Source organism: Homo sapiens, chromosome 22 (assembly GCF_000001405.40).
Source record: "Homo sapiens chromosome 22, GRCh38.p14 Primary Assembly".
NCBI lineage: Eukaryota > Metazoa > Chordata > Mammalia > Primates > Hominidae > Homo > Homo sapiens.
Genome location: NC_000022.11, coordinates 30,602,128 through 30,629,195, shown reverse-complemented (window position 1 = coordinate 30,629,195; position 27,068 = coordinate 30,602,128). Strand labels below are relative to the sequence as shown.

At 50.1% G+C, this 27,068-nt stretch overlaps 2 protein-coding genes across 4 annotated transcripts in view, besides 5 other annotated features; one reads left to right on the top strand and one right to left on the bottom strand.

The window, feature by feature from the left end:
• Positions 1,925 to 22,022, bottom strand: TCN2 (transcobalamin 2). Of its 2 annotated transcripts, none has more exons than NM_000355.4 (9): positions 21,801 to 22,022; positions 18,133 to 18,325; positions 16,154 to 16,323; positions 14,695 to 14,847; positions 13,723 to 13,895; positions 13,409 to 13,595; positions 11,701 to 11,866; positions 6,113 to 6,228; positions 1,925 to 2,736 (listed from the first exon to the last, which is right to left on the bottom strand). In NM_000355.4, exons 1-9 carry the CDS (start codon positions 21,862 to 21,864, stop codon positions 2,675 to 2,677), a joined length of 1,284 nt encoding a protein of 427 aa, NP_000346.2. In that variant the 5' UTR covers positions 21,865 to 22,022; the 3' UTR covers positions 1,925 to 2,674. The 2 variants fall into 2 exon arrangements, with proteins under 2 accessions (NP_000346.2, NP_001171655.1); NM_001184726.2 differs by having other exon boundaries at positions 16,235 to 16,323.
• Positions 19,526 to 19,805: an enhancer, noted in NCBI's record as "active region_18841". NCBI's record gives its function as "activates an Ori minimal core promoter by ATAC-STARR-seq in GM12878 lymphoblastoid cells {active_cell/tissue: GM12878}" and the evidence as "EXISTENCE:reporter gene assay evidence [ECO:0000049][PMID:35858748]".
• Positions 19,526 to 19,874: a biological region, named in NCBI's record as "Sharpr-MPRA regulatory region 4664".
• Positions 19,580 to 19,874: an enhancer, noted in NCBI's record as "tiled region #4664; K562 Activating DNase matched - State 5:Enh, and HepG2 Activating non-DNase unmatched - State 20:ReprD". NCBI's record gives its function as "activates a minimal TATA promoter and a strong SV40 promoter by Sharpr-MPRA in K562 cells, with weaker activation in HepG2 cells {active_cell/tissue: HepG2 | K562}" and the evidence as "EXISTENCE:reporter gene assay evidence [ECO:0000049][PMID:27701403]".
• Positions 21,657 to 22,236: an enhancer, noted in NCBI's record as "H3K27ac-H3K4me1 hESC enhancer chr22:31002947-31003526 (GRCh37/hg19 assembly coordinates)". NCBI's record gives its function as "activates a minimal SCP1, AML or CMV promoter by ChIP-STARR-seq in primed H9 embryonic stem cells {active_cell/tissue: H9 hESC(primed)}" and the evidence as "EXISTENCE:reporter gene assay evidence [ECO:0000049][PMID:30033119]".
• Positions 21,860 to 22,154: an enhancer, noted in NCBI's record as "tiled region #10016; HepG2 Activating DNase matched - State 4:PromP". NCBI's record gives its function as "activates a minimal TATA promoter and a strong SV40 promoter by Sharpr-MPRA in HepG2 cells {active_cell/tissue: HepG2}" and the evidence as "EXISTENCE:reporter gene assay evidence [ECO:0000049][PMID:27701403]".
• Positions 22,183 to 27,068, top strand: part of PES1 (pescadillo ribosomal biogenesis factor 1) — a 30,389-nt gene continuing 25,503 nt past the window's right edge. The window contains exons 1-2 of one of the 2 annotated variants that reach the window (NM_001282327.1): positions 22,183 to 22,387; positions 23,679 to 23,735. The gene's annotated coding sequence lies outside the window, so the exon portion shown is untranslated. Of the gene's footprint in view, positions 22,388 to 23,678; positions 23,783 to 27,068 lie in introns of both variants that reach the window. The other variant, NM_001282328.1, reaches the window with a different exon arrangement.

Sequence of the window (27,068 nt, the reverse complement as noted above, 5' to 3'; positions counted from 1 at the left end):
AAAGCCCATAGTAGTCTGCCCTTGCCCACAAACTCCCCAAATCCCTCAAATCTGAATGTGCCCTTTGGAGGCCCAGGCTGCTGCTGTGGGAAGCAGGTGATGCAGAGAGGCTTTACGGGATGGGGGCGAGAATCGATTTCTGGCAACCTTGCTGCAAGGCTGAGATGGGCCTCTCCTCTTGTCACTGCATGTGCCAGCAGATCACTCCTGGGGCCTCAGTTTCCCCATGTGATCTATGATGGTATCGCGTGCTATGTAAACCAAAGCACCATCCCACAGCTGTGTTAGGAAACAGGCTTAGTGAGCTGAAGGGGCTTGTCTGGAGCTATTAGAGATCTAAATGCAGGCCTGACATAGACCTGCCTCCCAGTCCCAGATGGAGGGCCTCTGGACTCTTACCCTGTTATCAGGCCACGCACTCAACACGACTGTCCCCTCACTCACACTGTTTCTTGGGATTCCTGCCAATTGTGCCAGACTAGACAACTGACCCAGTGTCCCAGAGACTCAGTGGCGTGGGACACAATCTAAGAGGGAGCTTGAACTGGAAGGAGGCCAAGTCTCTGCCAGGACCATGCCCAGAAGCAGCTGACTGATGGGAAAGAGGCAGAGAAGGCCTGAGGGCAGTGGAGGTGAGGGAGCGCTGAGCTCCAACTTCCATTTCACTACCTCCCTTGGCTGCCCCTGAGTTTGGCAGGCTGGGTCTTTTCAGCAAATATCTTTTTTTTTTTTTGAGACAAGAGTCTCGCTGTTGCCCAGGCTGGAGTGCAGTGGTGCAATATTGACTCAAGCAATTCTTGTGCCTCAGCCTCCTGAATAGCTAGGATTACAGGTGCACATCACCACGCCTGAGCTAATTTTTGTATTTTTAGTAGAGATGGGGTTTCTCCATGTTGGCCAGGCTGATCTTGAACTCCTGACCTCAGGTGATCCTCGTCCTCCCAAAGCGCTGGGATTACAGACGTGAGCCATTGCACCTGGCCCAATATAAAGAAATGTTTTAAATTGCTTACTTCCCCTATCTTCTCAGACCCTAAATGTTTGAAGATGGTGCTCTAGGTGGTTTAATATGCGGCTTCAAGGACTTTGAGTATGTCACCATCTCTTCCAAGGCATGTGGACGCAGACCTGATGGGCTGTTCATCAGAGGGCCCCACTGAGGACAGGACCTCTTCCTAACCTTGGTGGGGTGCAGCATAGGGGGTGCCTCGCTGGGCTGAACCCCCTCTTCAAGAGGGCAGCCCAGAGCCCCTAAGCCCCCAACCAATGAGAGGCAGGATCCCTGCGTCGTGGCTGCCGAGGCCTGGGGTGATGCCCTAATGGTGCCTTGTGGAAAAGCAGGGAGTGAGACCCTAGCTTCTGGGTCCCAGGGCTCCAGTTGAGTTGGGGCTCTGCCATACGATTATAACCATCATCGAAGCCCCTCATTTTCAGTATTTTAGTGGAGGAGCTGCAAGGCTGCCCCAGGCCAGGTCTGTGTCCCCTGAGCCAGGTTCCCCCAGCATCACTGCCTAGTCTGTGACCTTGGTGAGTCACTTTTCCTTTTTGAGCACCAGTTTCCTGATTTTTTTTTTTTTTTGAGAGTGTTTCTCTTCTTGCCCAAGCTGGAGTGCAATGGCGTGATCTCGGCTCACTACAACCTCCGCCTCCAGGGTTCAAGCAATTCTCCTGCCTCAGCTTCCCAAGTAACTGGGATTACAGGCATGCAGGCATGCAACACCATGCCTGGCTAATTTTTTGTATTTTTAGTAAAGATGGAGTTTCACCATGTTGGCCAGGCTGATCTCAAACTCCTGACCTTGTGATCCACCTGCCTTGGCCTCCTAAAGTGCTGGGATTACAGGCGTGAGCCACCATGCCCGGCCTCCCAGTTTCCTGATTTGTAAAGCACAGATAAAAATGAAAATATCAACAACCTCACAGAGCAGTTCAAGATAGTATCTAGCGAGTGAGTGCTCAGTCATAGTAGTGGGTGCTCAGTCAGTAGTCAATGTCATCACTGCTGGCATTCCCATCACTCCCCCAATGCCCACATGGCGGCTCAGGCACCCTCCACTCCTCCCTGATGGGGTTACTTCCCCCTTCTCTTGTCCCTGCCCCTGCACCTGAGGAGTATGAGGCACCAGGCCACTGTAGCAGGTCCACAGGCCATCAATGCTTTAATTTTGTCAGAGGCAGGCACTGAGCAGCCCTGCTGAGGTCTCCCCAGCTACTGTGCCACAACCAGCTCGGAGCTGCCACTCTAACAGCAGAGTGGAGAGCTGGGGTCAGGGCCATAGCCCCCGGGCTGAGGAGGCCTTCTTGCAGGACCCCAACCACAGAACGAGTGGTCTTCACAACACCTGCGGCCTGCGGACTCCGTTTTTTGCCAAGGAGTCTGAGATGCTTCATGCCCATCAGACCATGGGGTGGCCTTCATGGGAGACCTGCAGGGCCAGGCTGGCCAGACTTGGCCAGAAAGACTTCCCAGGGAAGATGCTTGGCTCTCTGCTCCAAGGTGGGCCATGGTATAGGGCCCTCGAAGGGCTTGTGGCTGGGGTGATCCCAGGGGGCATTGCTCAAAGTGCACAGGAGGTGGCAGCAGGGTCAGGCGAGTTCCTGTTCCAGGGACATCAGGAGGGAGGGTAGAAGCCTAGGGAGTGTGCGAGGCTGCTGGGATGAGGGAGCTCAGGGGCTACCAGCTAACCAGCCTCAGCTCAATGGTTTCTCCATCCTTGGGTCTGTAGTCAGCAATACCTGCAGAAACAGATTGAGCAAGGAGGGGCGAATTGGGCAGAATATCGCACCCCGCAACCTCATCTTCCAGACCCCCCACCCTGAGGCTAGAGTCTGTAAGAATCCACCTGGGGCTTGGTGGTGGGAAGCTGGAACCTCCCTAAAGCCTGCTCAAAGACTCTGAACTCAGCTTCCCACAGGGTTCCTGAGGCCATGACCTCATCTGGTAATAAAAACACCTGACAGGCAGGGCCACTGTCTTTGTAATACCCTAGGGACCATCAGGAAGAGAAACTTGCGCAGTGCAGTCTGGAGAGAGAACCAGGACCACGCAGAAGTCTCCCAGGAGTCAGCTTTCACTCACTACACAGAATCCAGGCTCTAGGAGGACGCCTGGATTCAAGCCCCAGCTCTGTCATTCATTACTGCTGTGACTCTGGACAAGTTATTTAACCTCTGAGTGAGTGTCGCTGCTCTTGTTGGTGATGTGGGAATGCAGCCTGCAGGGGAACTGAAAGGGCCCTTTGAGATAGCCAGGTGTCAGAAATGTTTCCTTTCAATGGAGGTGCTATGGTCTAAAATGTCTGTGTCCCCCCAAAATGTATATGTTAAAACCTAACCCCAAAGGTGATGGTATCAGGAGGCCTTAGGGCCTTTGGGAGATGATTAGGTCATGAGAGTAGAGCCTCATCAATGGGATAGGAAAGTGCCATTATAGGCCGAGCAGGGTGGCTCATACCTAGAATCCCAGCACTTTGGGAGGCCAAGGCAGGCAGATCACTTGAGTTCAGAAGTTCGAGACCAGCCTATGCAACATGGTGAAACCACATTTCTACTAAAAATACAAAAAATTAGCTGGGCTTTGTGCCATGGGCCTATGGTCACACGTACTCAGGAGGCTGAGGTGGGAGGATCGCTTAAGCCAGGGAGGCAGAGGTTGCAGTGAGCTGAGATTGTGATACTGCACTCAGCGTGGGTGACAGAGTGAGACCCCCATCTCAAAAAAAAAAATTTTTAAGTACCATTATAAAAGAGGTTCCTTCAGCAGGCAAGGGCCAGGAAAATATTTTTTTTTTTTAAATTAAAAAACAAGGCCCCAGAAAGTTGCCATGTTCCTTCCACCATGTGAGAACACAGCCAGCAGGTAACACCAGAAAGTGGGCCCCCATCAGACACTGAATCTGTCAGTGTCCTGATCTGGGACTGCCCACCCAACCTCCAGAACTGTTAAGAAATACATTTCTGTTATTTTATTTCATTTTGAGATGGAGTTTCACTCTTGTTGCCCAGGCTGAAATGCAATGGCGTGATCTCAGCTCACGGCAACCTCCGCCTCCTGGGTTCAAGCGATTCTCCTGCCTCAGCCTCCTGAGTAGCTGGGATTACAGGTGCCCGCCACCACCCCCAGCTAATTTTTTGTATTTTTAGTAGAGACAGGGTTTCACCATGTTGGTCAGGCTAGTCTTGAACTACTGATCTCAGGTGATCCACCTGCCTTGGCCTCCCAAAGTGCTGGAATTATAGGCATGAGCCACCGCACCCGGCCTCATTTCTGCTGTTTATAAGCCACCCAGTTTATGGTATTTTGTAATAGCAGCTTCAATGGACTAAGACAAAAGAGAACTCAAATTATAACTCCCATCCACTTTCCACCCCAAGGAAGATAGAGGAGTGATTTATGCAACTGGTTGATTTGGGAAGAATAAACTAGGCATGTGTAGCCTGGGCGCTATTTTTCTCCTGGGAGCGGGCTTCCTTCTAGACTCAAGGGCAGAGGGGGAAGGAGATAGAGGCTACAACTGCCCAGGTCTGCTTCCTGGCTGGGTCCACCTAGCTCTCACCCTCCTGTCTTTATCAGTAATAGAACTGGCCAGACTTGGGGTCTCCATCTGTAGCTCCTATTTTTTATTCCTCAATTTATTCAGAATGAGGGCAAGAAAAGAATGCTTTTTTGTGGGCTCCCTCAGAAAGTCCCACCTTCTCTATAAGCACTCGCCACAATGCTTGACACATGGTAAGTGCCCCATAAAAGTTCTTCAGGGGTGGAGTATCAAAGCAACTTAAATAACAAGAGTAGGAACAGATGACTTTTAAGGGTCTGTTTGCAGGCCAGGCGTGGTGGCTCACGCCTGTAATCCCAGCACTTTGGGAGGCTGAGGCAGGCAGATCACTTGAGGTCAGGAGTTTGAGACCAGCCTGGCCAACATGGTGAAACCCCGTCTCTACTAAAAATACAAAAATAACTGGGCATGGTGGCACACACCTGTAATCCCAGCTACTTGGGAGGCTGAGGCAGGAGAATTGCTTGAGCTCAGAAGGCAGAGGCTGCAGTGAGCTGAGACCTCGCCATTGTACTCCGGCCTGGGCAACAGAGCAAGACTCCATCTCAAAAAAAAAAAATATATATATATATATATATGTGTGTGTGTGTGTGTGTATATATGTATACATATATATGTGTGTATATATGTATACATATATATGTGTGTATATATGTATACATATATATGTGTGTGTATATATGTATACATATGTGTGTGTGTATATATGTATACATATATATGTGTGTATATATATGTATACATATATATGTGTGTATATATGTGTGTATATATGTGTGTATGTATGTGTATGTATGTGTGTGTATATGTGTGTGTATGTGTGTGTATATATGTGTATGTGTGTATATATGTATACATATATATGTGTGTATATATATATACATATATATGTGTGTATATATATGTATACATATATATGTGTGTCTGTATATATATATATTTCATATATATGTATACACATATATGAAATTTTTAAGTTATACATGTGGGCAACATTAAATTTCCACTGGATAGCATGGCTCCATTTTTTATGAAAAACTTACTGCCATATTTTTAAAAAGTATCTAGAAGAAAAGTTAAGTAATTTTGGCTGGGTGCGGTGGCTCATGCCTGTAATCCCAGAACTTTGGGAGGCAGAGGCAGGCAGACCACTTGGGCTCTAGGAAGGCTGAGGTGGAAGAATCACATGAACCCAGGAGGCGGAGGTTGCAGCGAGCCGAGATCATACCGCTGCACTCCAGCCTGGGCAACAAGAGCGAAACTCCATCTCAAAATAAAAGACGTTATTCCTAGGTAGTATATCCTAGGTGATGTTAATTTTCTTCTAGTTTTTTTTTTTTTTTGTAATCTGTCTGGTTTCCTAGAATTTCCACAGTAACTTGCATAAAAATTCTAAGGCTTCAGTTCAATATATTATATCCAACTTTGAGCATCAGTGATTTTGTGAAGGTGTGGCCCAGGAGGGTGCTAGGGAAAGCTGGGGTGAGTTGATGAAGCCTCTTGGCTGAGTAAGCTTGGGGTAGGGGACACATCCAGAGTGTCAGGCCATGACTCACCTTGCAACAGTGGGGTGTTGGGGTCTCGGAGAAGCTGCCAGAACTCCCTTTCTCCGGCCGCTTTCCCCATCACGGAGGTTAAGTAGGGGCCTGACAAGGAGGCCTGTGTTTCATATCTACAGAAGGGAAAGGCAAATGGGGAGAGAAGAGGTGGCTGTTGTCCCTAAGGGGAGAGGCAGTGCTCACCCACAGCAGCAAAATCCCTTCCAAGCTCTTTGGGCCGACACTCGTCAAACCCTTCCCAGGCCACCTGGCCACAGGTCTGTGATCTCAACTTCCACCTCCTTCCCCTCCAGACCCCCGATCCTGCCTGCTCAGGCTTCATCCTCTCCACGCTGACCATGACCATGGCCTCCAGGAAAGGGGCATCTATTATGTTATCAGCTCAGCAGTTGTCCCCTCTCTGGGGGGCTGATGTTATGGGGGATGAGAATCAGAAGCTGCTGGTGTCACCTAGAATGTGTACAATGTACAACGAGAGAGGGTGAAGCCTGCATACAGAGACAGGCAGGGTCATGGGAAGTGGAGGCAGAGACACCTGGCAGTGGCACTGGGTCTCTGTGGCTCAGTGGCATTCCCCTCTTCTCGGGGCTGCATGGCTCAGCCTCCTCTCTGATTCTACATGCTCTACACCCGCTGTTGTGGAGAGGCTTGGAGTTCGGTTTCTGGCCCTGGCAGCCAAGAGACTCCTCAACTCACACTCCCCCTTCCCTGAGCTTCTGGCCTTCAACTTTGAGTTTCTGCACTCCGTCTGGATGCCACTGCCACAGGAAGCCTCTTAAAACTCCGTGGGCCTGGGCCAGGCACAGTGGCTCAACCCTGTAATCCCAGTACTTTGGGAGGCCAAGGCAGGCAGATCACCTGAGGTTGGGAGTTCGAGACCAGCCTGACCAACATGAAGAAACCCCATCTCTACTAAAAACACAAAATTAGCCAGGTGTGGTGGTTCATGCCAGTAATCCCAGCTACTGGGGAGGCTAAGGCAGGAGAACCGCTTGAACCCGGGACGTAGAGGTTGCAGTGAGCTGAGATCGTACCATTGTACCCCAGCCTGGGCAACATGAGCAAAACTCCATCTCAAAACAAAACAAAACAAACTCCGTGGGCCACGTCCTTCATCCCTCCCACAGGAGAAAGCAGCATGATCAGGGCTTCCCCTGGAAGAAGGGCTTCAAGAGATGAGTGGGATTTGCCAGAGGAGAAGGGAGGAGAGCGGGGCAGAGCTGAGAGGAGGCAGAGAGAAGAAAGGCACACAGGTGCACAGAATTTGGGGGAATGGTCTTTCAAAAGAGCAGGGTCAGGCCAGGCACTGTGGCTCATGCTTGTAATCCCAGCACTTTGGGAGGCCAAAGCGGGTGGATCACTTGAGGTCAGGAGTTCATGACCAGCCTGGACAACATGGTGAAACCCCATCTCTACTAATAATACAAAAATTAGGCTGGGCATGGTGGTGCACACCTGTAATCCCAGCTATTCAGGAGACTGAGGCAGGAGAATCACTTGAACCTAGTAGGCGGAGGTTGCAGTGACCTGAGGTCGCACCACTGCACTCCAGCCTGGGTAACAGAGCAAGACTGCTTCTCAAAAACAAAACCAAGCAAACAAACAAAAAACAACAAATGAGCAGGTTCTGGGAGAATGCAAATGACTGAAAAGGAGGTGAGACCGTCAAAGTAACAGGGAAGTGATGTGAACAAACGCATCTTCTACAAAGTGCTCTCTGGGGTAATACAGCCCTAAGTTATCGATGGTTGCAGTCTTAGAGGGATTTTTTTGGTTTTAAGAAACACAGGTGGGGCGCGGTGGGTCACATCTGTAATCCCAGCACTTGAGGAGGCGGAGGTGGGTGGATCACCTGAGGTTGGGAGTTTGACACCAGCCTGGCTCACATGGTGAAACCCTATTTCTACTAAAAATACAAAAACTAGCCAGGTGTGATGGTGGGCCCCTGTAATCCCAGCTGCTCAGGAGGCTGAGGCAGGAGAATCGCTTGAACCCAGGAGGTGGAGGTTGCAGTGAGCCGAGATCGTGCCACTGCACTCCAGCCTGGGCGACTGAATGCAACTCCGTCTCAAAACAACAACAACAACCACCACCCTATTTGGGGTGACTTTAGCGAAGGGAAACTACTGTTCTAAGGAATGTCACAGAGTAGCCCTTTTCCCATTCCTTAACTCTGCAGGGCCATGTGGCTGCACAGGGCTACCTCTCTCCACATCTGTCTATCTGTGTCTGCAGTTGAGCTTTCTCTGCTGTGCATTCAGGGGCCTCAAACATAGTCTTCATGCCTGAACCCAGTTGAGGCATCCATGCACACTAACAAGAGAACCATTTCTCAGACTGGAGTCCACAGTGTCTTCCCAGAGATCCCCGAGCTCTGAATAAAAACGTTAAATTCTAATTGTCTTTCATTTTGATGACAATATTCAAACATGAATACCAGCTGGTTCTGGGTAATCTCAGTCTGTGGGTCTGAGCCCTCCCAAGGGCACTCAGCCTATGCGTGGCCATCAGTGACTGCGCTGGTGCCCAGCAGCATTGCGTTATGTGCCATAGGCCACAGGAAGGAAACGGAGGTGGCCCTCATAGTGAATGAAGTGGCTGAGCCAGGCCAGGAGTGCCCAGGCTTCACTGCAGCTTGAATACAGGGAGGTGCTAAAGTGCAGGCCAGCACCTCCGCAGAGCATCCTTATTTGAATGGTATTGGTTTTTATACTTTTCTATTTAATTTATAAAGTTGTTGGGGATTTATAGCTGTCTAGAGCTAGAAAGAGAAAGGACTTTTTTTGTGTGTGGTAGAGACGGGCTTTCGCCACGTTGGCCCGGCTGGTTTTGAACTCCTGGCCTCAAGTAATCTGCCCACCTTGGCCTCCCAAAGTGCTGGGATTACAGGTGTTAGCCATCACACTCAGCCCTTTGTCTTTTAAAAAAAAAAAAAAAGTTTTGTCATCCAGGCTACAGGACAGTGACGTCATCATAGCTTGCTGCCGCCTTGAACTCCTGGGCTCAAGCAGTCCTCCCACCTCAGCCTTCTGGGTAGCTAGGATTATAGGTGCACACCATCATGCCCAGCTAATTAAAAAAATTTTTTTGAAGAGATGGCAGTCTCACTATGTTGCCCAGGCTGGTCTCAAACTCCTAGGCTCAAGTGATCCTCCTGCCTCAGCCTCCCAAATCACTGGAATTACAGGAGTGAGCCACCAGCTCTGGCCAAAGACTTTATATTTAATAAAATTATCAGTACACATCTAAGTGATATTATAGAAGAAATAACTTAACCTGGGGTCTGGGAGAATGTTTGTACTTCAGAGGAGTCTTTGCATTTCTCCGGTCTGAGATTCTCTAGCCTAGAGGACCCGAAGGAACCAACTGTGGGCCCTCCCTGGATGCAGGATGCTGTTTTCCAGGAACTCCCACTGGGGACAGAGATAGGCCCATGATTCTAGGGGAGAAGTCTGTGGTGTGCGTGACCTGGTGGAAGGCATTCAACTTCTCTGGGCTGGACTCCCCACTGATAACATGAGAATTACATTCATCTTATTTCATCATGGACAGGACCTGTCAAACAACAGTCCAGACATGCTCATTCTCAAACTATTCTAAGCTCAGGGTGAGAAGCAAGTGTAAGGACATTGTCCAACCTCTTTGAGGTAATTAATAACAGGATAGGGCCAAACTTATTTCATAATAAAAGTTCTTATTCTGGCCAGCCACGGCGGCTCACGCCTGTTATCTCAGCACTTTGGGAGGCCAAGGTGGGTAGATCGCTTGAGTCCAGGAGTTTGAGACCAGTCTGGGCAACATGAAGCAATCCCATGTCTACAAAAAATTTTAAAAAAATATTTGCCAAGCGTGGTGGCGCATGCCTGTTGTTCCCAGCTACCTGGGAGGCTAAGGTGGGAGGATCAGAGCCCGGAAGATTGAGGCTACAGTGAGCTGTGATTGTGCCACTGCACTCTAGCCTAGGTGACAGAGTAAGACCCTGTCTCAAATAAAATAAAAGTTCTTATTCTGGGCCAGGCATAGTGGCTCATGCCTGTAATCCCGGCACTTTGGGAGGCTGAGGCAGACATATCACTTGAGGTCAAGAGCTCAAGACCAGCCTGGCCAAAATGGCAAAATTCCATCTCTACTCAAAATATAAACATTAGCCAGGTATGGTGGTGCATGCCCATAGTCCCAGCTACTCGGGAGACTGAGGAAGGAGAATCGCTTGAACCTGGGAGGTAGATGCTGCCATGAGCTGAAATTGTGCCACTGCAACCCAGTCTGGGCGACAGAGGGAGACTCCATCTCAAAAAAAAGTAGATGGGTGTGGTGGTGCATGCCTGTAGTCCCTGTTACTTGGATAATTTGAGGCTGCAGTGAGCTATGAATGTGCCACTGCACTTCAGCCTGGATAACAGAGAGAGACCTTGCCTAAATAAATACATGGCCGGGCACGGAGGCCCATGCCTGTAATCCCAGCACTTTGGGAGGCCGAGGCAGGCAGATCACCCGAGTTCAGGAGTTAGAAACCAGCTGGCCAACATAGTAAAACCCTGTCTCTACTAAAAATACAAAAATTAGCTGGGCATGGTGGCACGCGCCTGTAGCGCCAGCTACTCAGGAGGCTGAGGCAGGACAATCACTTGAACCCAGGAGACGGAGGTTGCAGTGAGCCGAGATTGCGCCACTGCACTCCAGCCTAGGTGAAAGAGAGAGGCTCTGTCTCGAAATAAATAAATAAATAAAAATAAACAAATACACAAACACGAGTTGGGCCTCCAGAGCCTGGGTAATAGAGTGAGACTCTGTCTCAAAAAAAAAAACAAAAAAAACCAGTTATTATTCTGGCTGAGCATGATGGCTCGCACCTATAATCCCAATATTTTGAGCGCCTCAGGTGTGAGGATGGTTTGAGGCCAGGAATTTGAGACCAGCCTGGGCAACAGACAGAGACCCTATCTCAAAAAAAAAAAAAAAAAAAATTACCCAGGGTTGTGTGGCACGTGCCTATAGTCTCAGCTATTTGGGAGGCTGAGGCAGGACAGTAGGGTTGCTTCATCCCCAGAGTTCGAGACTGCAGTGAGACGTGATTGCACAATTACACTCCAGCCTGGGTGATAAGATTGAGACCCTGTCTCTTAAAAACAAACAAACAAACAAACAAAAAACAGTTCTTACTCTGATGAAAGCAACGCTGTGTTGAGCGCTTGCTATGTGCTGGACCTTGCACATATAAAAAGCACATGCCACTATCTCTATGTGTACTAACTCCTGGACTCTTCACACTGGCCCTGCAGGGAAGGGGCACAACTGTTCTCCTCGGTGAATTGTGGGTGCCTACCTGGAACCTAGCTGGTTAGAGTTGGGATTCCAACTGGGGGGCTCTGCCTCCAAAGCCTGCTCTCTCAGTGACAATGCTGGCCTATGGCTCCCTGTTTCCATAACACCGTGGGCAAGAAAGGAGCTGAGCAGGTAGAAGCAGAAGCAGGGCCAGTGTCTCTCCCGAGGGAACCCTCTCCTCTGTTCCCCGTCTCTTCTGTGACCCTGTTATCAGGCATGTGAGGTTGGGTGGGGTGAGGACTGGGAGGTGGGAGTCTCACGTGAATCCTCCTAACTCATGGGCCTTCTTCAGGACATCTTCCACGGTGGACCCGGCCAGAACAGAGATGGACTGTCTGTACGGCGGCAAGAGACTAAGCACCTGCAGCGTGACACTGATGATCTCTTGGGTCTGAGGAATGGTCTCAGCAGCTGGTTCCAACATGACTGTGCCAGGAAGAAAGGGGCGGGCAGCTGGTGTGAGGACAGAGAGCCTGGATTATTTGTCTTCTTGTCTTCCCTCAAGGACACCTGGACTTTGTCCTTCCCCATGTCCTCATCTCCATCAATGCCACCGCCACCTGCTCAGCTGAAACCTGGCTTCCATCCCGGCCTCCCCTGTCCCTCATTCCCCACCACCTGGCTTCCATCCCGGCCTCCCCTGTCCCTCATTCCCCACCACCCAAGATCAGGCCCCTCACTGGTTTCTCTGCTTCCAGTATCCTTCCTCCCACCTCTCTGGCACCTAGCACTCCAGAGGGCTCTTCCTAGAACATGCATTTGTTCACAACGCATCTCTGTTACCCTGATGCGCTCACCTTCTCTTCATTCATCTGCTTTCCACTCCCACTCATTCTCCCAGATCCCACTCTTTTGCAAGACCATTCCTCAAAATTCCCCCAAACTCTGTGCACCTCTGTGTCTTTGTTCTTCCTGCCTCTTCTTGGCTCCACTCTATCCATTCTTGTTTTTTCTGGAGACAGAGTCTCACACTGTCGCCCAGGCTGAAGTGCAATGGCGCGATCTCGGCTCACTGCAACCTCTGTCTCCCAGGTTCAAGTGATTCTTGTGGCTCAGCCTCCCTAGTAGCTGGGATTATAGGTGTCTACCACCATGCCTGGCTAATCTTTCGTATTTTAGTAAAGACAGGGTTTCACCATGTTGCCCAGGCTGGTCTCAAACTCCTGGGCTCAGGCAATCCATCTGCCTCAGCTTCCCAGAGTGCTAGGATTATAAGCACGAGCCACCATGTCCAGCTTCCTTCTTCTCCATTTTTTTTTTTTTTTTTTGAGACATAGTCTTACTCTGTCACCCAGACTGGAGTGCAGTGGCATGATCTTGGCTCACTGCAACCTCCACCTCTGAGGTTCAAGTGATTCTCTTGCCTCAGCCTCCTGAGTAGCTTAGCTGGGGTTACAGGCACTCGCCACCACACCCAGCTACTTTTTTGTATTTTTAATAGATGGAGTTTCGCCATGTTAGCCAGGCTGGTCTCGAACTCCTGACCTCAGGTGAGCCACCCGCCTCGGCCTCCCAAAGTGTTGGGATTACAGGCATGAGTCACTGCACCTGGCCTCTTTCTCCATTCTTAATTGGCAAATCCCAGTCACGTCCTCAGACCCTCTCTCAGAGAAAGCCTGGATCATGCTGCTACTGGGGCTTATCATGTTGTATTAGAGTTAACCAAAATGTGTCTCTCCTCATCCATCCATCCATCCATCCATCCATCCATCCATCCATCCATCCATCCAAACATTTCTGTACTGGGTATCACACAAGCGATATGCCCAGGGATCTCCATTTACTGTCTTCCTCCCCACACTGTGAGCTTCTAGAAGCTATGACCACATTTTGGCTGCTGTGTCCCATGCACACCCACAATCTTGTGCTGACTCAGCAAATCAGGATGAAGCAACCTCCCCTCACTGGGACGTCAATGGGTGCGCAGCAGATTGTAAAGGGCTGTGCTTCCACAAAAAGTTGGGCTACCTCGTGGTGCCAGACAGTCTGGGAAGATCAGATCAATGTAGGTCTTGTGGTTCAGAACGGGCAGCAGCTGGGAAATCATGAGAGCATTCTGGAAGGCTCCATCCTGCAGACTGGCCAGCAAAGCAACCCTCGCCTTGAGACATGCTGTTCCCAGTTCTGCCCCACGCATGGGGGAAGTCATGAGGAACTGGTGATAGAGTGAGGAAGAGAGAGAGGAAGTCAGCCGGCAGGGAGGGGCTAGGTGTTCCAGCACCTGACCACTCCACCCCTGACTGTTCCCCAGGGTGGCCATGGCTCCAGGGTCTCTTTCCCACCTGTAATGCCAATGGGGTGCTGTAGACATTCCCAAAGTGGCCCTCGGGGGTCTGGGCCTTCAAGATCTCCTCTCGCACTGTTCTGATGGCCATGGTGATCCGTTGTCTCCGACCAGGGTTGAAGTTTGAGCGCTTCAGACAGGTGAATGCCAAGCCTGCCATGGCTGCTGTGTCTTGAAGTGGGGGACAGAACATGCAATGAGCTGGAGAGCCAAAGGGGCCAGGACAGGCAGGGGCTTGAGGGTCAGGCCCTTGTAGCTATGGACAACCACAGGAGGGCTTGGAGAAGAAGGGCAACATGGTCAGATCAGCTAAGGGCACCAACTCAACCTGGTCTGCCCAAGACTTTCCTTGTCTGGACTCTGAAAATCCTGTGTCCCAGGAAACTGCTCATTTCTGGGCAAACTGGTTTGGCTGATCACTCTGCAACTTGAGGGCTAGAGGTTAGGGAGAAGGACTGGAGGAGGGAGGCCCAAGAGGACTTGACCCCATACCACCTATTTCCAAACTTAGCTGCACATTGGAATCACTAGGGGAGTTTTATTTTATTTTTTATTTTTTGAGACAGAGTCTCACTCACTCTGTTGCCCAGGCTGGAGGGCAGTGGTGCGATCTCCACTCACTGCAGCCTCCGCCTCCCAGGTTCAAGTGATTCTCCTGCCTCAGCCTCCCGAGTAGCTGGGACTACAGGCATGTGCCACCATGCCCGGCTAACTTTTTTATTTTTAGTAGAGATGGGGTTTCACCACGTTGTCTTGAACTCCTGGCCTCAAGAGATCCACCTACCAGCTCCAAAGCTGGCTCACAGCTGAAGCATCACCCATGAGCCCTCGCCAATTCGTCCCTAAAGGACTTGATTCGGAGGAGCCCCAAGGAAAGGTGAGTGTGGGGGCCAGGGTATGGAGGTCATCAGTGCAGACCTGGGGACTGAGGGAGTGCCAGCCTGGCCTTGGCACGGTCTGACCTACTCACCCACAGAATGGTGGCCCTGGTGGAAAGGTTCCACAGCATACAGAAGTTTGTCCACCACGCTGTCATGGACCCGCTTCTGGTGGAGACACAGGGCCAGAATGCCCAGGCCATACTGGTAGTAGCTAGTGTGGGGGTGGCCCTTGTGATCATGCCCTGAGAGGGAAAAAAACAGAGGGGTTGCCTCTCTGCCCCCACCCAGCAGCCAGCCCCGCCAGCACCTGGGACCCTGGCCTGCACTTTCCAACACGCTCTTTTGGGTCATGGGATCCTTCATTCCTTCATTGCCTCAGCCCATACGTGCTGAGGTCTCACTGTGTGTCAGGCACTGTGCTTAGAGGAAGCAGGAGACCCATGGCAGACAGGCACTGCGCAGTTCGGGCCTCAACCACAGCAATTGCTCATGCGACTGCAATTGCAACGAGAATGCAGACCAAGTAGTGATATTTGGGTGGCTGGGAAGTCAAGGCAGGATTCTCCAAGGAGGTAATGCTGGAGACGGCTGAGGATGGGTGGAGGCAGAGCCAAAGGTAGAGCAGGAGTGAACTGCACGCAGGGAAGCCAGTCCAGATGGAGGGAGCCTGTATGAAAAAACTGGCTTATGAGTTGAGAGATGGTATGGCTGGAGCCCACAGAGGGCAGGTGTGTGGGAGGCAGAGAATGGATGAGCACAGCCTGGGCAGAAGGTAAGGGTAGACAGGCTGGGCCATGGAGCAGTGCGAGGCCCCTGCAGGGTTTAAGCAGTGCCAGCAAGATCAGGTTTATATTGAAAAGGCTGGCTCTGGCTGTTGTATGCTGGGTCAAGTCAGGGCAGGAGAGCTAGTAGAGACAGACTATGGCGTAAGTCATAAGCAGGCTGTCCAGTTGTCCCGAAGGTGGATAATCAAGTCAATCTTGGTGGCTAGCCAATACAAGGCTTGTCAGTGGGCCTAACGCAGTGGCTCATGCCTGTAATCCCAGCACTTTCGGAGGCTAAGGCAAGCGGATCACCTGAGGTCAGGAGTTCGAGACCAGCCTGACCAACATGGAGAAACCCCACGTCTACTAAAAATACAAAATTAGCTGGGTGTGGTGGCGCATGCCTGTAATCCCAGCTACTCAGGAGGCTGAGGCAGGAGAATTGCTTGAACCCAGGAGGCAGAGATTGCGGTGAGCTGAGATTGCGCCATTGTACTCCAGCCTGGGCAGCAAGAGCAAACCTCCAACTCAAAACAAACAAACAAACAAAAAACAAAAAACCACGAAACACACCTGTCAATAGTATGTGTGCAGCGCGGGAAAAGCTGGGTCAAGGATGGCTATGGGGACAGGTTCGAGCCTCTACGTAGGCAGTGAGATGGGCAGAATGGATGGTGGGAAAGACGCCTGGGGAGAAAACCCAAAGTTCTGATTCTCATTGGAGAATATCATCTGATGAGCCCTCCCAGCTGCTCCCCACCCCCAGCGGATGGTGTCTGCTCACCAATGGCTCTCTTCTCATCCTCCAGGAACCATTTGAGCTGTGAGACCAGCCTGTCCCCCTTGTGGCCCCTGACAAACTCACAGTTGGCTCTGAGAGCGAGCAGGTAGAGGGCCAGCTGGCCCATGGAAGGCTTGCCCTGGCAGTCACCGTCATCCTCGCTGAAGGCAGACCTAGGACAAGGCCAGTTAATGCCTTTGTGAGAAACTGCCACCCCGTAAGCCTGCTTACAGCACCCACCCCACCCGCATCACAAAGCGGGAAAAAATCTTAACAGTGGGAAACTTTGATAAAAGCTCCAAAAGGAGGTGTGTTGGCTATGTTGTTGTGAGGTGTATGCCACAAATATTTAATAAAGATGAACAGTTAGATTCAAGAATAAACTCCAAGGGCTCCTGTGTCCAGATCATCTGTGCCTGCCCCACTATTTTGTCCATACTTCACCCATATGCCCCCTCCTTTTTTATTTTTTTATTTTATTTATTTATTTTCTTTGAGACAGAGTTTCGCTCTTGTTGCCCAGGCTGGAGTGCAGTGGCATGTTCTCAGCTCACTGCAACCTCCGCCTCCCGAGTTCAAGCGATTCTTCTGCCTCGGCCTCCCAAGTAGCTGGGATTACAGTTGCCCACCACCACCCTTGGCTAATTTTTTGTATTTTCAGTAGAGACAGGGTTTCACTATGTTGGCCAGACTGGTTTCGAACTCCTAACCTCATGTGATCTACCTACCTTGGCCTCCCAAAGTGCTGGGATTACAGGCGTGAGCCACCACACCCAGCCATATTTTTATTTTTTTTTTTTACTGAGATAGGGTCTCTCTGTCTCCCAGGCTGGAGTGCAGTGGTGCCACCATGGCTCACTGTAGCCTCGATTTCTCAGCCTCAAAAGATCCTCCCACCTTTGCCTCCGGAGAAGTGGGGACCACAGGCATGAGTCACTACACCTGGCTCATTTTTTTTCTTTTTCTTTTTTTTAAGAGATGTGGTCTCACTATGTTGCCTAGGCTGGTCTCAAACTCCTGAGCTCAAGCAATCTTCCTGCCTCAGCCTCCCAAAATGTTGGGATTACAGGTATGAGCCACTATGCCTAGTCTTCTTTTCTCTCCACCCCTGCATCCACTTCTCAAGAGGGAGTCTGAGAAAGAGGCACTCCATGGCTGATTCTTCGCCTCTCATTCAAACCCCAAAACAGGCCTCTCTGTGATGCCTCTTGAAAAGGGAGCACAAAGATGCTGCTTTTGGATTGGTGCAGTGGCTCATGCCTATAATCCCAACACTTTGGGAAGCCAAGACAGGCGGATCACCTGAGGTCAGGAGTTCAAGACCAGCCTGGCCAACATGGTGAAACCCTATCTCTACCAAAAATACAAAAATCAGCTGGGCATGGTGGCACACGCCTGTAATCCCAGCTATTCAGGTGGCTGAGGCACGAGAATCACTTGAACCCGGGAATTGGAGGTTGGGGCAAGCCAAGATTGTGCCACTGCACTCTAGCCTGGGCAACAGAGTGAGAGGAAAGAAAAGAAAAGATGCTGCTTCTGGGCTCAGTATGAAAGAATGCGGTCATGGATTACTGATGTCTGCCTCATGCATGGGAGGGGAGCATACAGAGTCAGATGCTGCTTCTAAGCTCAATGTAGAAGACTGCAGTCATCGATTAGTGATATCTGCCTCAGGCACACTAAGGGAGCATAGAGTCAGATGCTGCTCCTGGGCTCATCATCAAAGAGTATAGTCACGGATTAGTTATGTCTGCCTCAGACACATGATGGACAGTAGTAGCAAAAGGAGCCTTGCATTAGCATCTCTGATCTAATCCAACCAACCCCTTCATTCTATAGATGGACAAAGGTCCTCCATTCTATAGATGGAGAAAATTTGCCTAAGGTCTGCCCACAAAGTGGTGACAGGCCCAAACTAGTACCCAAGTTTCCCATCTCTTAGTATGTGGAGCAAGACATGGAAAAAGAGAGTGTGGCAATACCCTAGGAGGCACTGCTGGTAACCAAGCTTGAGGCTGTGCAGGTAGAGGTCTTCCTTGGTCCCAGCCTGCAGACTGGAGAGGCGTAGGCCCACATAGATGCTGGGGTTCAAGTGCTCCAGGGAAAGCCGGTCCATCCAAGGTAAGAGGTGCTGGCCCAACTTCTCTACCAGATGGCTGTCCATCTCTGGTATTTCTTAGAAAAGAAAATGGTACAAATGAGGTCACAGGGCCAGGCCACCAGCAAAGAAGTGCTTTGACGTTACCAGGGCCTTCTCCAGAGAATACATGTCCTCACCCCCACCTCCACCCAGCACACACCAACTTGCAGGGGGAAATGCAGCCATACTGAAAGGCAGTGGGAGGAGAAAAGAGGGGAAGCGTGTATCTCTAAAGAGCAGTTGGAGTGAGCCAGCAAGAGAGGTGGTGGGCTGAAGATAGAGGATGCTACTGCCAGGCAACCACTCTGCCCATCAGCAGTGACAGTGAGACTGGTGTGCCCGGGCACCTTGCCCAATCTCACTTGGTCCTCATGCCAGTCCTGTGATGTAGATACTGTCATCATTGCTTTGCACAGAAGAGGAAACAGAAGTTCAAAGTCGTGTCATGTCTTACACAAGGCTGCAGAGCCAAGGATGGACCTAACTGCAAAGCCCCCGCTCTTTGGTGCCCTGCTGAATGTGTGTGCTACCCGTTTACAAAAACATCAGCCCACATGCAGAACGTGTTACACATCAAATTTCCAAACAACGCAAACTTCCAGCTGGTGAATTGAGGCTGCCTGGTGAACTTCCTCCATGCAGATCTCAAAATAACGCCTTTCCTGCCATCTCTGTTTAAATGAAGAGGACCTGAGATTGTGAGATGAGCTCTTAGAAAACAGTCACAGCTTGCAGCCGTTTACCTGTTGCTGTGGGATTTATTCGAAGCTGTGCAACGAAAATACTCAAACACTCTGGAAGCGGAAGCCTTAGGGATAGTTCCAAGGGACTTGAGCTCAGCACAGGGTAGCTTAGAGTAGTTTGCCTCGGAGGTAACCTTGCACTTTCGGTCCCTGTTTACTGCCTCCCAGTTGCTGCTGGGCTCCAGCTGCCTGATGGTGGCCTTCACTGTGCCATATCCCAGGGGACCAGAACGAGGACCAGAGCTCCTAGAACAGCTCCATCTCTGTGGGTCTGGGTCCCACAACCTCGTGTCTGTTTTCCCGACAGCCCCAGATACCTGTTGCTATAAGGTGACCATCCACCAGCATGAAACCCTACATAATCCTTTGCTGTGTGGGCCCAGACCAAAGCACATGGCTGGTTTCTCACCAGATGTTAAGAGAGACTGGGGGGTTGCTTTTTTCCCTTTCTGTCACTGAGAACCATTTTTTGGTGCCTATCTCCATTTCTCCGTCTCTGTCACTCAATGTGTGAGGCTCTCTGGGTCTGTCTCAGTCTCTCTCAGCCTGTGTCTCTCTGGTCATCTGCCCCCCTCCTCACCTCTCTTTCCTTTTCCCTTTTCTTGAAACGCGCAAGGGAGTTCCCTGACCTCACCCCGGGCTCTCACTTCCAGCACGATGAGTCAGCACAGGGTTAGAAACTGAAAGATCAGGATCCAGCTGTAAAGGGAGAGACTGACAACCACAGAGCAACCTCCTTAGAAGGAAGGGGCCAGGCAGATTCACGCAGGGTAATAAAAGCAGCCTTGGGTGAGCTCTCGCCCTACCAACCCAGCCCTGCCAGCTAAGGGCTGATTGCTGTTGACATTCACAAGCACAGGAGCCAGACAGAGTGGCTCACGCCTGTAATACCAGCAGTTTGGGAGGCCAAGGTGGGAGGATCGCTTGACCCTAGGAGTTTGAAACCAACCCTGGGCAATATAGTGAGACCTCATCTCTAGAAGAAAATTAAAAAAAAAAAAAAGAAGAAGAAAGAGAAAAGGAAGCACAGGAGCCCACTTTGCATTAGCGTTTGTGCAGCGATCCCTGTCAATTTCACAACATACATATAGAGCTTTAAACTGGGAGAGCAGGTGTCATGGGATCCTTCCTTGTACTACACCGAGGAGGAAGGCAGGGGAGCATTCTTAGCCCACTTTACAGATAAAGGAATGAGGCTGGGTGCAATTAAGTGACTCAGTGCAGATATTTGCACCCCAAACCCCAGTTCAAGATTCCCCAGACCCCAAGGGATTGGGGCTCCTGTGGGGTCAGGTTAATGGACTAACTGTCCAAGGCTGAGGACCAGATCAGCCAGGAGGAAGAGCTCTTGCTGGTTGAACCCAGAACTCCCCTGGGGACTGTCCGGACATGAACCAAGAGCTGGGGTTCCTGGGCCCAGACCTGAGGTGTCTGATTGCATTTATGGAACACAGATGAGAGGCTTGGAGTTCTGGCCGGGCACGGTGGCTCACGCCTGTAATCTCAGCAATTTGGGAGGCCGACGCAAGAGTTTCACTTGAGCCCAGGAGTTCGAGACCAGCCTGGGCAACATGGCGAAACCCTGTCTCTACAAAAAAATACAAAAATTAGCCAAGCATGGTAGTATGCACATGCAGTCTCCAGCTACTTGGGAGGCTGAGGTGGGGGAATCACTTGAACCCACAAGGCAGAGGCTGCAGTGAGCCAAGATCGTGCCACTGCACTCCAGCCTGGGCAACAGAGGGAGAACCTCTCTCAACAAAAAACAAAACGAAAACAAACGAGGCTTCAAGTTCTAAAAACTAAGTTCAGCAAAGCTCTGGAAAAGGTGGAGCACCCTGAGTGGGTCACTCAGCCCCTCCAACCCTCGACTTCTTCACTTGACACCTGGACATGACTGCACCCACCTCTCAGGGTTTCCCCAGGGTCTCAAGAGACCATGGGGGTGAAAGTGTATTGCTCAACGTAATCCTAGGTGCAGAGGAGGAGAAAAGGCGCGTGGGCGGCCCAAAGTTCCCAAAGCCTGCCTTCTGCCTCCTGTCTGAAGGAGCAGCCCTGAGCCTCTAAGCTCAGACTCATAGACAGGTCCCAGGAGACTGTGCTCCAAGAGACCCCTTGGGGCACAGAGCTGGAGCAGGCAGGACCTCCGAAGGCTCACTTCCTGCTGCCTAGAATGTGTGTCCCCCACTCCTTTCCTGCCAGCTCCTTTTCTTCCTTCGAGTTTCAGCTCCCATGTGTCCTCTTGGTCTTCAGAAAGTCTTCCCCATGCCCAGCTATTTTTTAATTTTTTTTATTTTTTGTAGAGATGGGGTCTCCCTATGTTGCCCAGGCTGACCTTGAACTGTTGAGCTCAAGCGATCCTCCCCTCCCGCCTCAGCCTTCCAAAATGCTGAGATTTCAGGTGGGAGCACCTAACCATTTCTTTTGTCTGTCCCCCTTCCCTAGAACATAAGCTCTAGGATGGCAGGGATTAGACTTGTCTCATGCTTTGCACGTTCCCCAAAGGCTAACACTGGGCCTGACACAGAAAAGGCTCAGTATGCGCTGAATGAATGTGTGAACGAATGACTGAATTAACGGAGATCTTGTCTGGTGAGGAGTCAAACATATAATCAATCACAATAGGATGTGTTAAATGCTGAGGTCCAGCTAAGCCCAAACTGCTATGGGAGCTTAGAAGGGCAGGTAAGTTCCCTCATCCTATGCCCTAGCCACCCCACTAAGGACCCAGGAGGAAAGAGGCACAGGATAGAGGCGAGTTACTCACCACACATCTCAGTGAGGGCCCCCAGGACCCCCAGAAGGAAGAGGAAGGCCCCAAGGTGCCTCATGGCAGCAGCAGGTGGGTGAGCAGTGAGCAAGAATCGGGAAAGACTCCTGGGGCTGGCCCTGCTGAGGCTCTCCTGACCACAGCTGGTCACCGCTCCGAGAGACGCAGCTTCCTGTCACTGATTAATCCTCCATGCCTGCAATGCACGGCTAAGTCTGCAGAGGGGTGGGGCGGGGGAAGGTCTGTGGTGGCGGGGAACATAAGGCCAAAGAACAGAGGAAGGAAGGGCAGAGCAGCCCTCCTGGAGGTAGGGAACAAAGGGAGGAGGAGGGCTAGTGGGACCATGTGAGACATCTTGAGGCCATTCACGTTCCTGCTTAAAGAGCCCGGGACCAGCGCAGAGGGCCTGATGCCTGATCTGTCAAGTCTGTCCGACCGTGCCTGTCTGCTGTCCCCCCAGCTGTTCCAGTGGTGGATTGGCAGGACCGGGTGCCTACCCGGTACTCCTTACCAAAGGAGCCCCTGGTAGTGCCCACCTAGCCCAGGACAAGGAGTGGAACGGGAGCTGCAGCTGCAGTGGTCACGTGAGCAGCATTGCTGGAGTCAGCTGTTTTTCAGCACCGCCTCCCTCAGTTGTGGCGGGAGGGGATTGTGGGGGTGGGGGAGTTGGGCAGTTGGGGAGGGGGAGTTGGGCAGTTCGGTGGGGGGGGGGAGTTGGGCAATTGAGGGGAGGGTGGGTGCCGCTGGCCCCAGACCAGCCAGGCCACTTTTCTCAACCAATCCGAAAGGGCTGGGAGCCTCCTGGAGAGGACAAAACAAAACAAGTTAAAGAATGGGATTAAGTCCGGGCACGGTGGCTCACACCTGTAATCCTAGCACTTTGAAAGGCTGAGGCGGGCAGATCACTTGAGCTCAGGAGTTGGAGACCAGCCTGGGCAACATGGGGAAACACTGTCTCTACAAAAACACAAAAAACACATACAAAAAACCATAAATTAGCCTGGCGTGGTGGCAGACGTCTGTAATCCCAGCTACTTGGGGGGCTGAGGCAGGAGGATCGCTTGAACCCAAGAGGTGGAGGCTACAGTGAGCCAAGATTACACCACTGCACTCCAGCTTGGGTGACAAAGTGAGACCCTGTCTCAAAAATAAAATAAAATAAAAAGAATGAGATTGAATCGAGACACAAAGCTACCAGAAGCAGGGGTACTTGCCAGAACTCGGAAAGTAACCTCAAAAAAAATCTCTGCAAACAGGGAAGAGAACAAAAGATTCCTCATCTGCCCAGCCCCACAGGAGAATCAATGTATACGAGTTAACTAGTGGTGGCTGTGTGACTTTGGCCAGGTCACTTAACCTCTCGAGTTTAAAATAGTTCTTCCTGTGTGAGAAGAGAGGGTTAGGCAAGATCATCCTAACAGTTCCCTTTCAGCTCAATTTGTGAAGACACTATGACCTTAAAATATCTCCAATCATTTCCATGCACAATCTGCATTGCAATTATTTTATGGTAAATTGCCAAGGTTCACTCTTTTAAGACAATCTTTTTGAGCCTGATTTATCACAAACCAAGCCCTTGACATAAATAAATACAGCAACGTGTGTCTGTTTACGGAACTACTTGAAAATTTTAAATGATAGGTTGTCCAGTCAGAAAGGCTGGATGTGGCCACTAGGAGGAGCACCCCTGGAGGTTCTGAGGAAGGAGGGAGGCCAGTGGGGAGCCCAACTTCCGCAGAACCGCACGTTTGGACCTTCAGGGGAGTCATGGTGAAGTGTGTGCAATGGAGCCACCTTGGTCCTGGGTGGGACTGCCTTGGCTCCCCCAACCCTCTGCCTGTTTCCAGTAACAACTATTATGATTCCTATTTCCAGGAAGGCAGCCTGGAGGAGGTGGCCATGGAGGATAGCCTTCGTTATCGTCAGCCTCTGGTGAGAAGCAGCAGCATCCTTCCAGAGAGTCACTTCTGATCCCCAAGGTAGTTAGGGTGTCGAAGTAAAGGAGGGAGACACCCCCCTGCCTACCTACCTGGACTCAGTGCTAGAGGGTGGGGGAGTAGGAATAGGAAGACAGCATATTTCCCATACATATTAGAAATACTGGTGGCTCATGCCTGTAATCCCAGCACTTTGGGAAGCCAAGGCAGGAGGATTGCTTGAGCCCACAAGTTTGAGACCAGTCTAGGCAAGATGGTGAGACCCTGATTCTAAAAAACAAACAAAACCAAAAAATGCCAGGGATGGTGGTGTGTGCCTGTAAGTCTCAGCTAATCTAGAGGCTACAAGTGGGAGGATCACTTGAGCCCAGGAGGCTGAGGTTGCAGTGAGCTGAGATCAGACCACTGCACTCCAGTCTGGGCGACAGAAGGAGACCCTGTCCTAAAAATAAAGTAAAATTAAAAAAAGAAATAGAGTGACTGGTCAGGGGTAGTGCTATTTCAGGTCATGTGGTCAGGGAATGTGAAAAACAAAAATGATTACATCATTTAGATCAGGATTTCTATTTTTTTTATTTTTGAACTCCTGGGCTCAAGCGATCCTCCTGTCTCAGCCTCCCAAAGAGCTGGGATTACAGGCATGAACCACTGCACCTGGCCAGATCAAGATTTCTATTTGTGGTGAAAACTAGCTTGGAATGAGAAAGTAAAAGTCTGCCTGTGCTCCCACTAGACTGGGATAACAGGGACCTCTAAAGCCAGCTGCAAGCCAGCTGCAACATCAACAGGAAACATTTCTTATTTTTTCTTATTTATTTATTTTTTTTGAGACAGGGTCTCACTCGTTGCCCAGGCTGGAGTGCAATGGCATGATCTCGGCTCACTACACCCTCCTCCCGGGTTCAAGCGATTCTCCTGCCTCAACCTCTTGAGTAGCTGACATCACAGGCATGCGCCACCACCCCCAGCTAATTTTTGTATTTTTAGTAGAGACAGGGTTTCACCCTGTTGGCCAGGTTGGTCTCGGACTCCTGACCTCAAGTGATCTGCCTGCCTCAGCCTCCCGAAGTATTGGGATTACAGGCATGAGCCAGCGCGCCTGGCCAACAGGAAACATTTCTATCAAGGCCATGCATGCTACAGCTATTTGGGTGACTACTACTTTTTTTACTGATTATTTATATTTTTCCCCCTAAAAGCACAAGCAATCAGAAATTTGCTGTTTGATATCCTATTAGTAAGAACAGAACATCCCACTGTTGCCTAAAAGAGCTATGTCATTTTGACACAGACAAGCAGTCTCAGATAAGGTGTTTCTGGACTCAGCATTCCACATTTTTCTTAACTTTGTAGTTTCCAAGGAAACAAGACTCTAGGTCCACTTTGCCGTCCAGACCTGAAGCGGACCCTTCATACACAGCCCTGTGATACTTGGAGCCTGCTTGCCTCAAAACACTGCTTGCTTTACACTTCACCTAACTCCACCCTTCCCTTCAATTCTTTAATAACCTTTCCCTTTGTTCAGCCAGATCACTATAGTTCCTCTGCTGGGTGGTTTCCCTCATTGGAATAAGTCAACAACTGGGTTTGTTTCTGGTGGTTTTAGGCTGACTTGGCGAGGACTAGCCTAAAAATTAACCCAAAAGAGAAAAATAAAATTGTATGCATGAAGATGGCATGAGAAGAATGAATATAACAAATACACAACTCTAGTTCTATATGAAATATCTATTTTAGTGATTAAAAGTGTATATATATTAAAATCATATTTTAAGGCCAGGCACAGTGGCTCACACCTGTAATCCCAGCACTTTGGGAGGCCGAGGCGGGTGGATCACCTGAGGTCAGGAGTTCGAGACCAGCCTGACCAACAGGGTGAAATCCAGTCTCTACTAAAAATACAAAAATTAGCCGGGCATGGTGGCATGTGCCTGTGGTCCCAGCTACTTGGGAGGTTGAGGCGGGAGAATTGCTTGAACCTGGGGGCCAGAGGTTGCAGTGAGCCAAGATCATGCCACTGCACTCCAGCCTGGGTGACAGAGCAAGACCCCATCTCGGAGAAACAAAAAACAAAAAACAAACAAAAACAGAAAGAAAGAAAAGGAGGAAGAGGAGGAGAAAGCAAAGATAAAATCATAAAAAAATCCCATCAACTAGAGCATTGGTTCCCAACTGTGGTCACTGGATGACTGGTAGTCTCCAAGAACCTTTTAGGGGGCCTGTGAGTTTAAAATTACTTTCAAGTGGCTGGGCGCAGTGGCTCATGCCTGAAATCCCAGCCCTTTGGGAGGCCGAGGTGGGTGGATCACCTGAGGTCAGGAGTTCGAGACCAGCCTGACCAACGTGGCGAAACCCAGTCTCTACTAAAAATACAAAAATTAGCTGCGCCTGGTGGTGGGCTCCTGTAGTCCCAGCTACTTGGGAGTCTGAGGCTGGAGAATTGCTTGAACCCAGGAGGTAGAGGTTGCAGTGAGCCAAGATTACGCCACTGCACTCCAGCCTGGACAACAGAGCGAGACTCCTTCTCACACACACACACACACAAATTGCTTTCAAGTTAAGATAAATAGCAAGACACTATTAGTGTAATAGTAAGACATTTCATCAAATGGTGCAGGAACAATTGGATGTCTATATGCAAAACAAATCAACCTAAACATACACCTTTCACAAAAAATTAACTTGAAATAGACCTAACTATGAAACACAAAACTATAAAACTTCAAGAAGAGGTGATGCCTTTTTAGATACAACACCTAAAGCATAGTCCATCAAAGAAATAATTGTCTGGGTGCAGTAACCTCAGCACTTTGGGAGGCCAAAGTGGCAGGATCACTTGAGGCCAGGAGTTTGAGACAAGCCTGGGCAACATAGTGAGCCCCTATCTTTATCAAAAGAAAAGAAAAAAAGGAAAAGAAAATAAAAGAAAAAAGAGGCCGGACATGGTGGTTCACACCTGTAATCGCAGCACGTTGGGAGGCCAAGGCGGGTGGAACTCTTGTGTCAAAAAAAAAAAAGTATTAGTTTTCACACTGCTATAAAGAAATACCTGCAATTCGGTAATTTATAAAGAGGTTTAATTGACTCACAGTTGTGCATGGCTGGGGAGGCCTCAGAAAACTTGCAATCGTGGCAGAAAGCAAAGGGGAAGCAAGCACCTTCTTCACAAGGTGGCAGTAGAGAGATTGAGAAAGTGCCACACTTAAAACCATAGCTCTTGTGAGAACTCCCTCTCTATCATGAGAACAGCATGGGGGAAACCACCTCCATGATCCAGTCACCTCCCACCAGGTGTCTCCCTCAAGTGGAAATTACAATTCAAGATGAG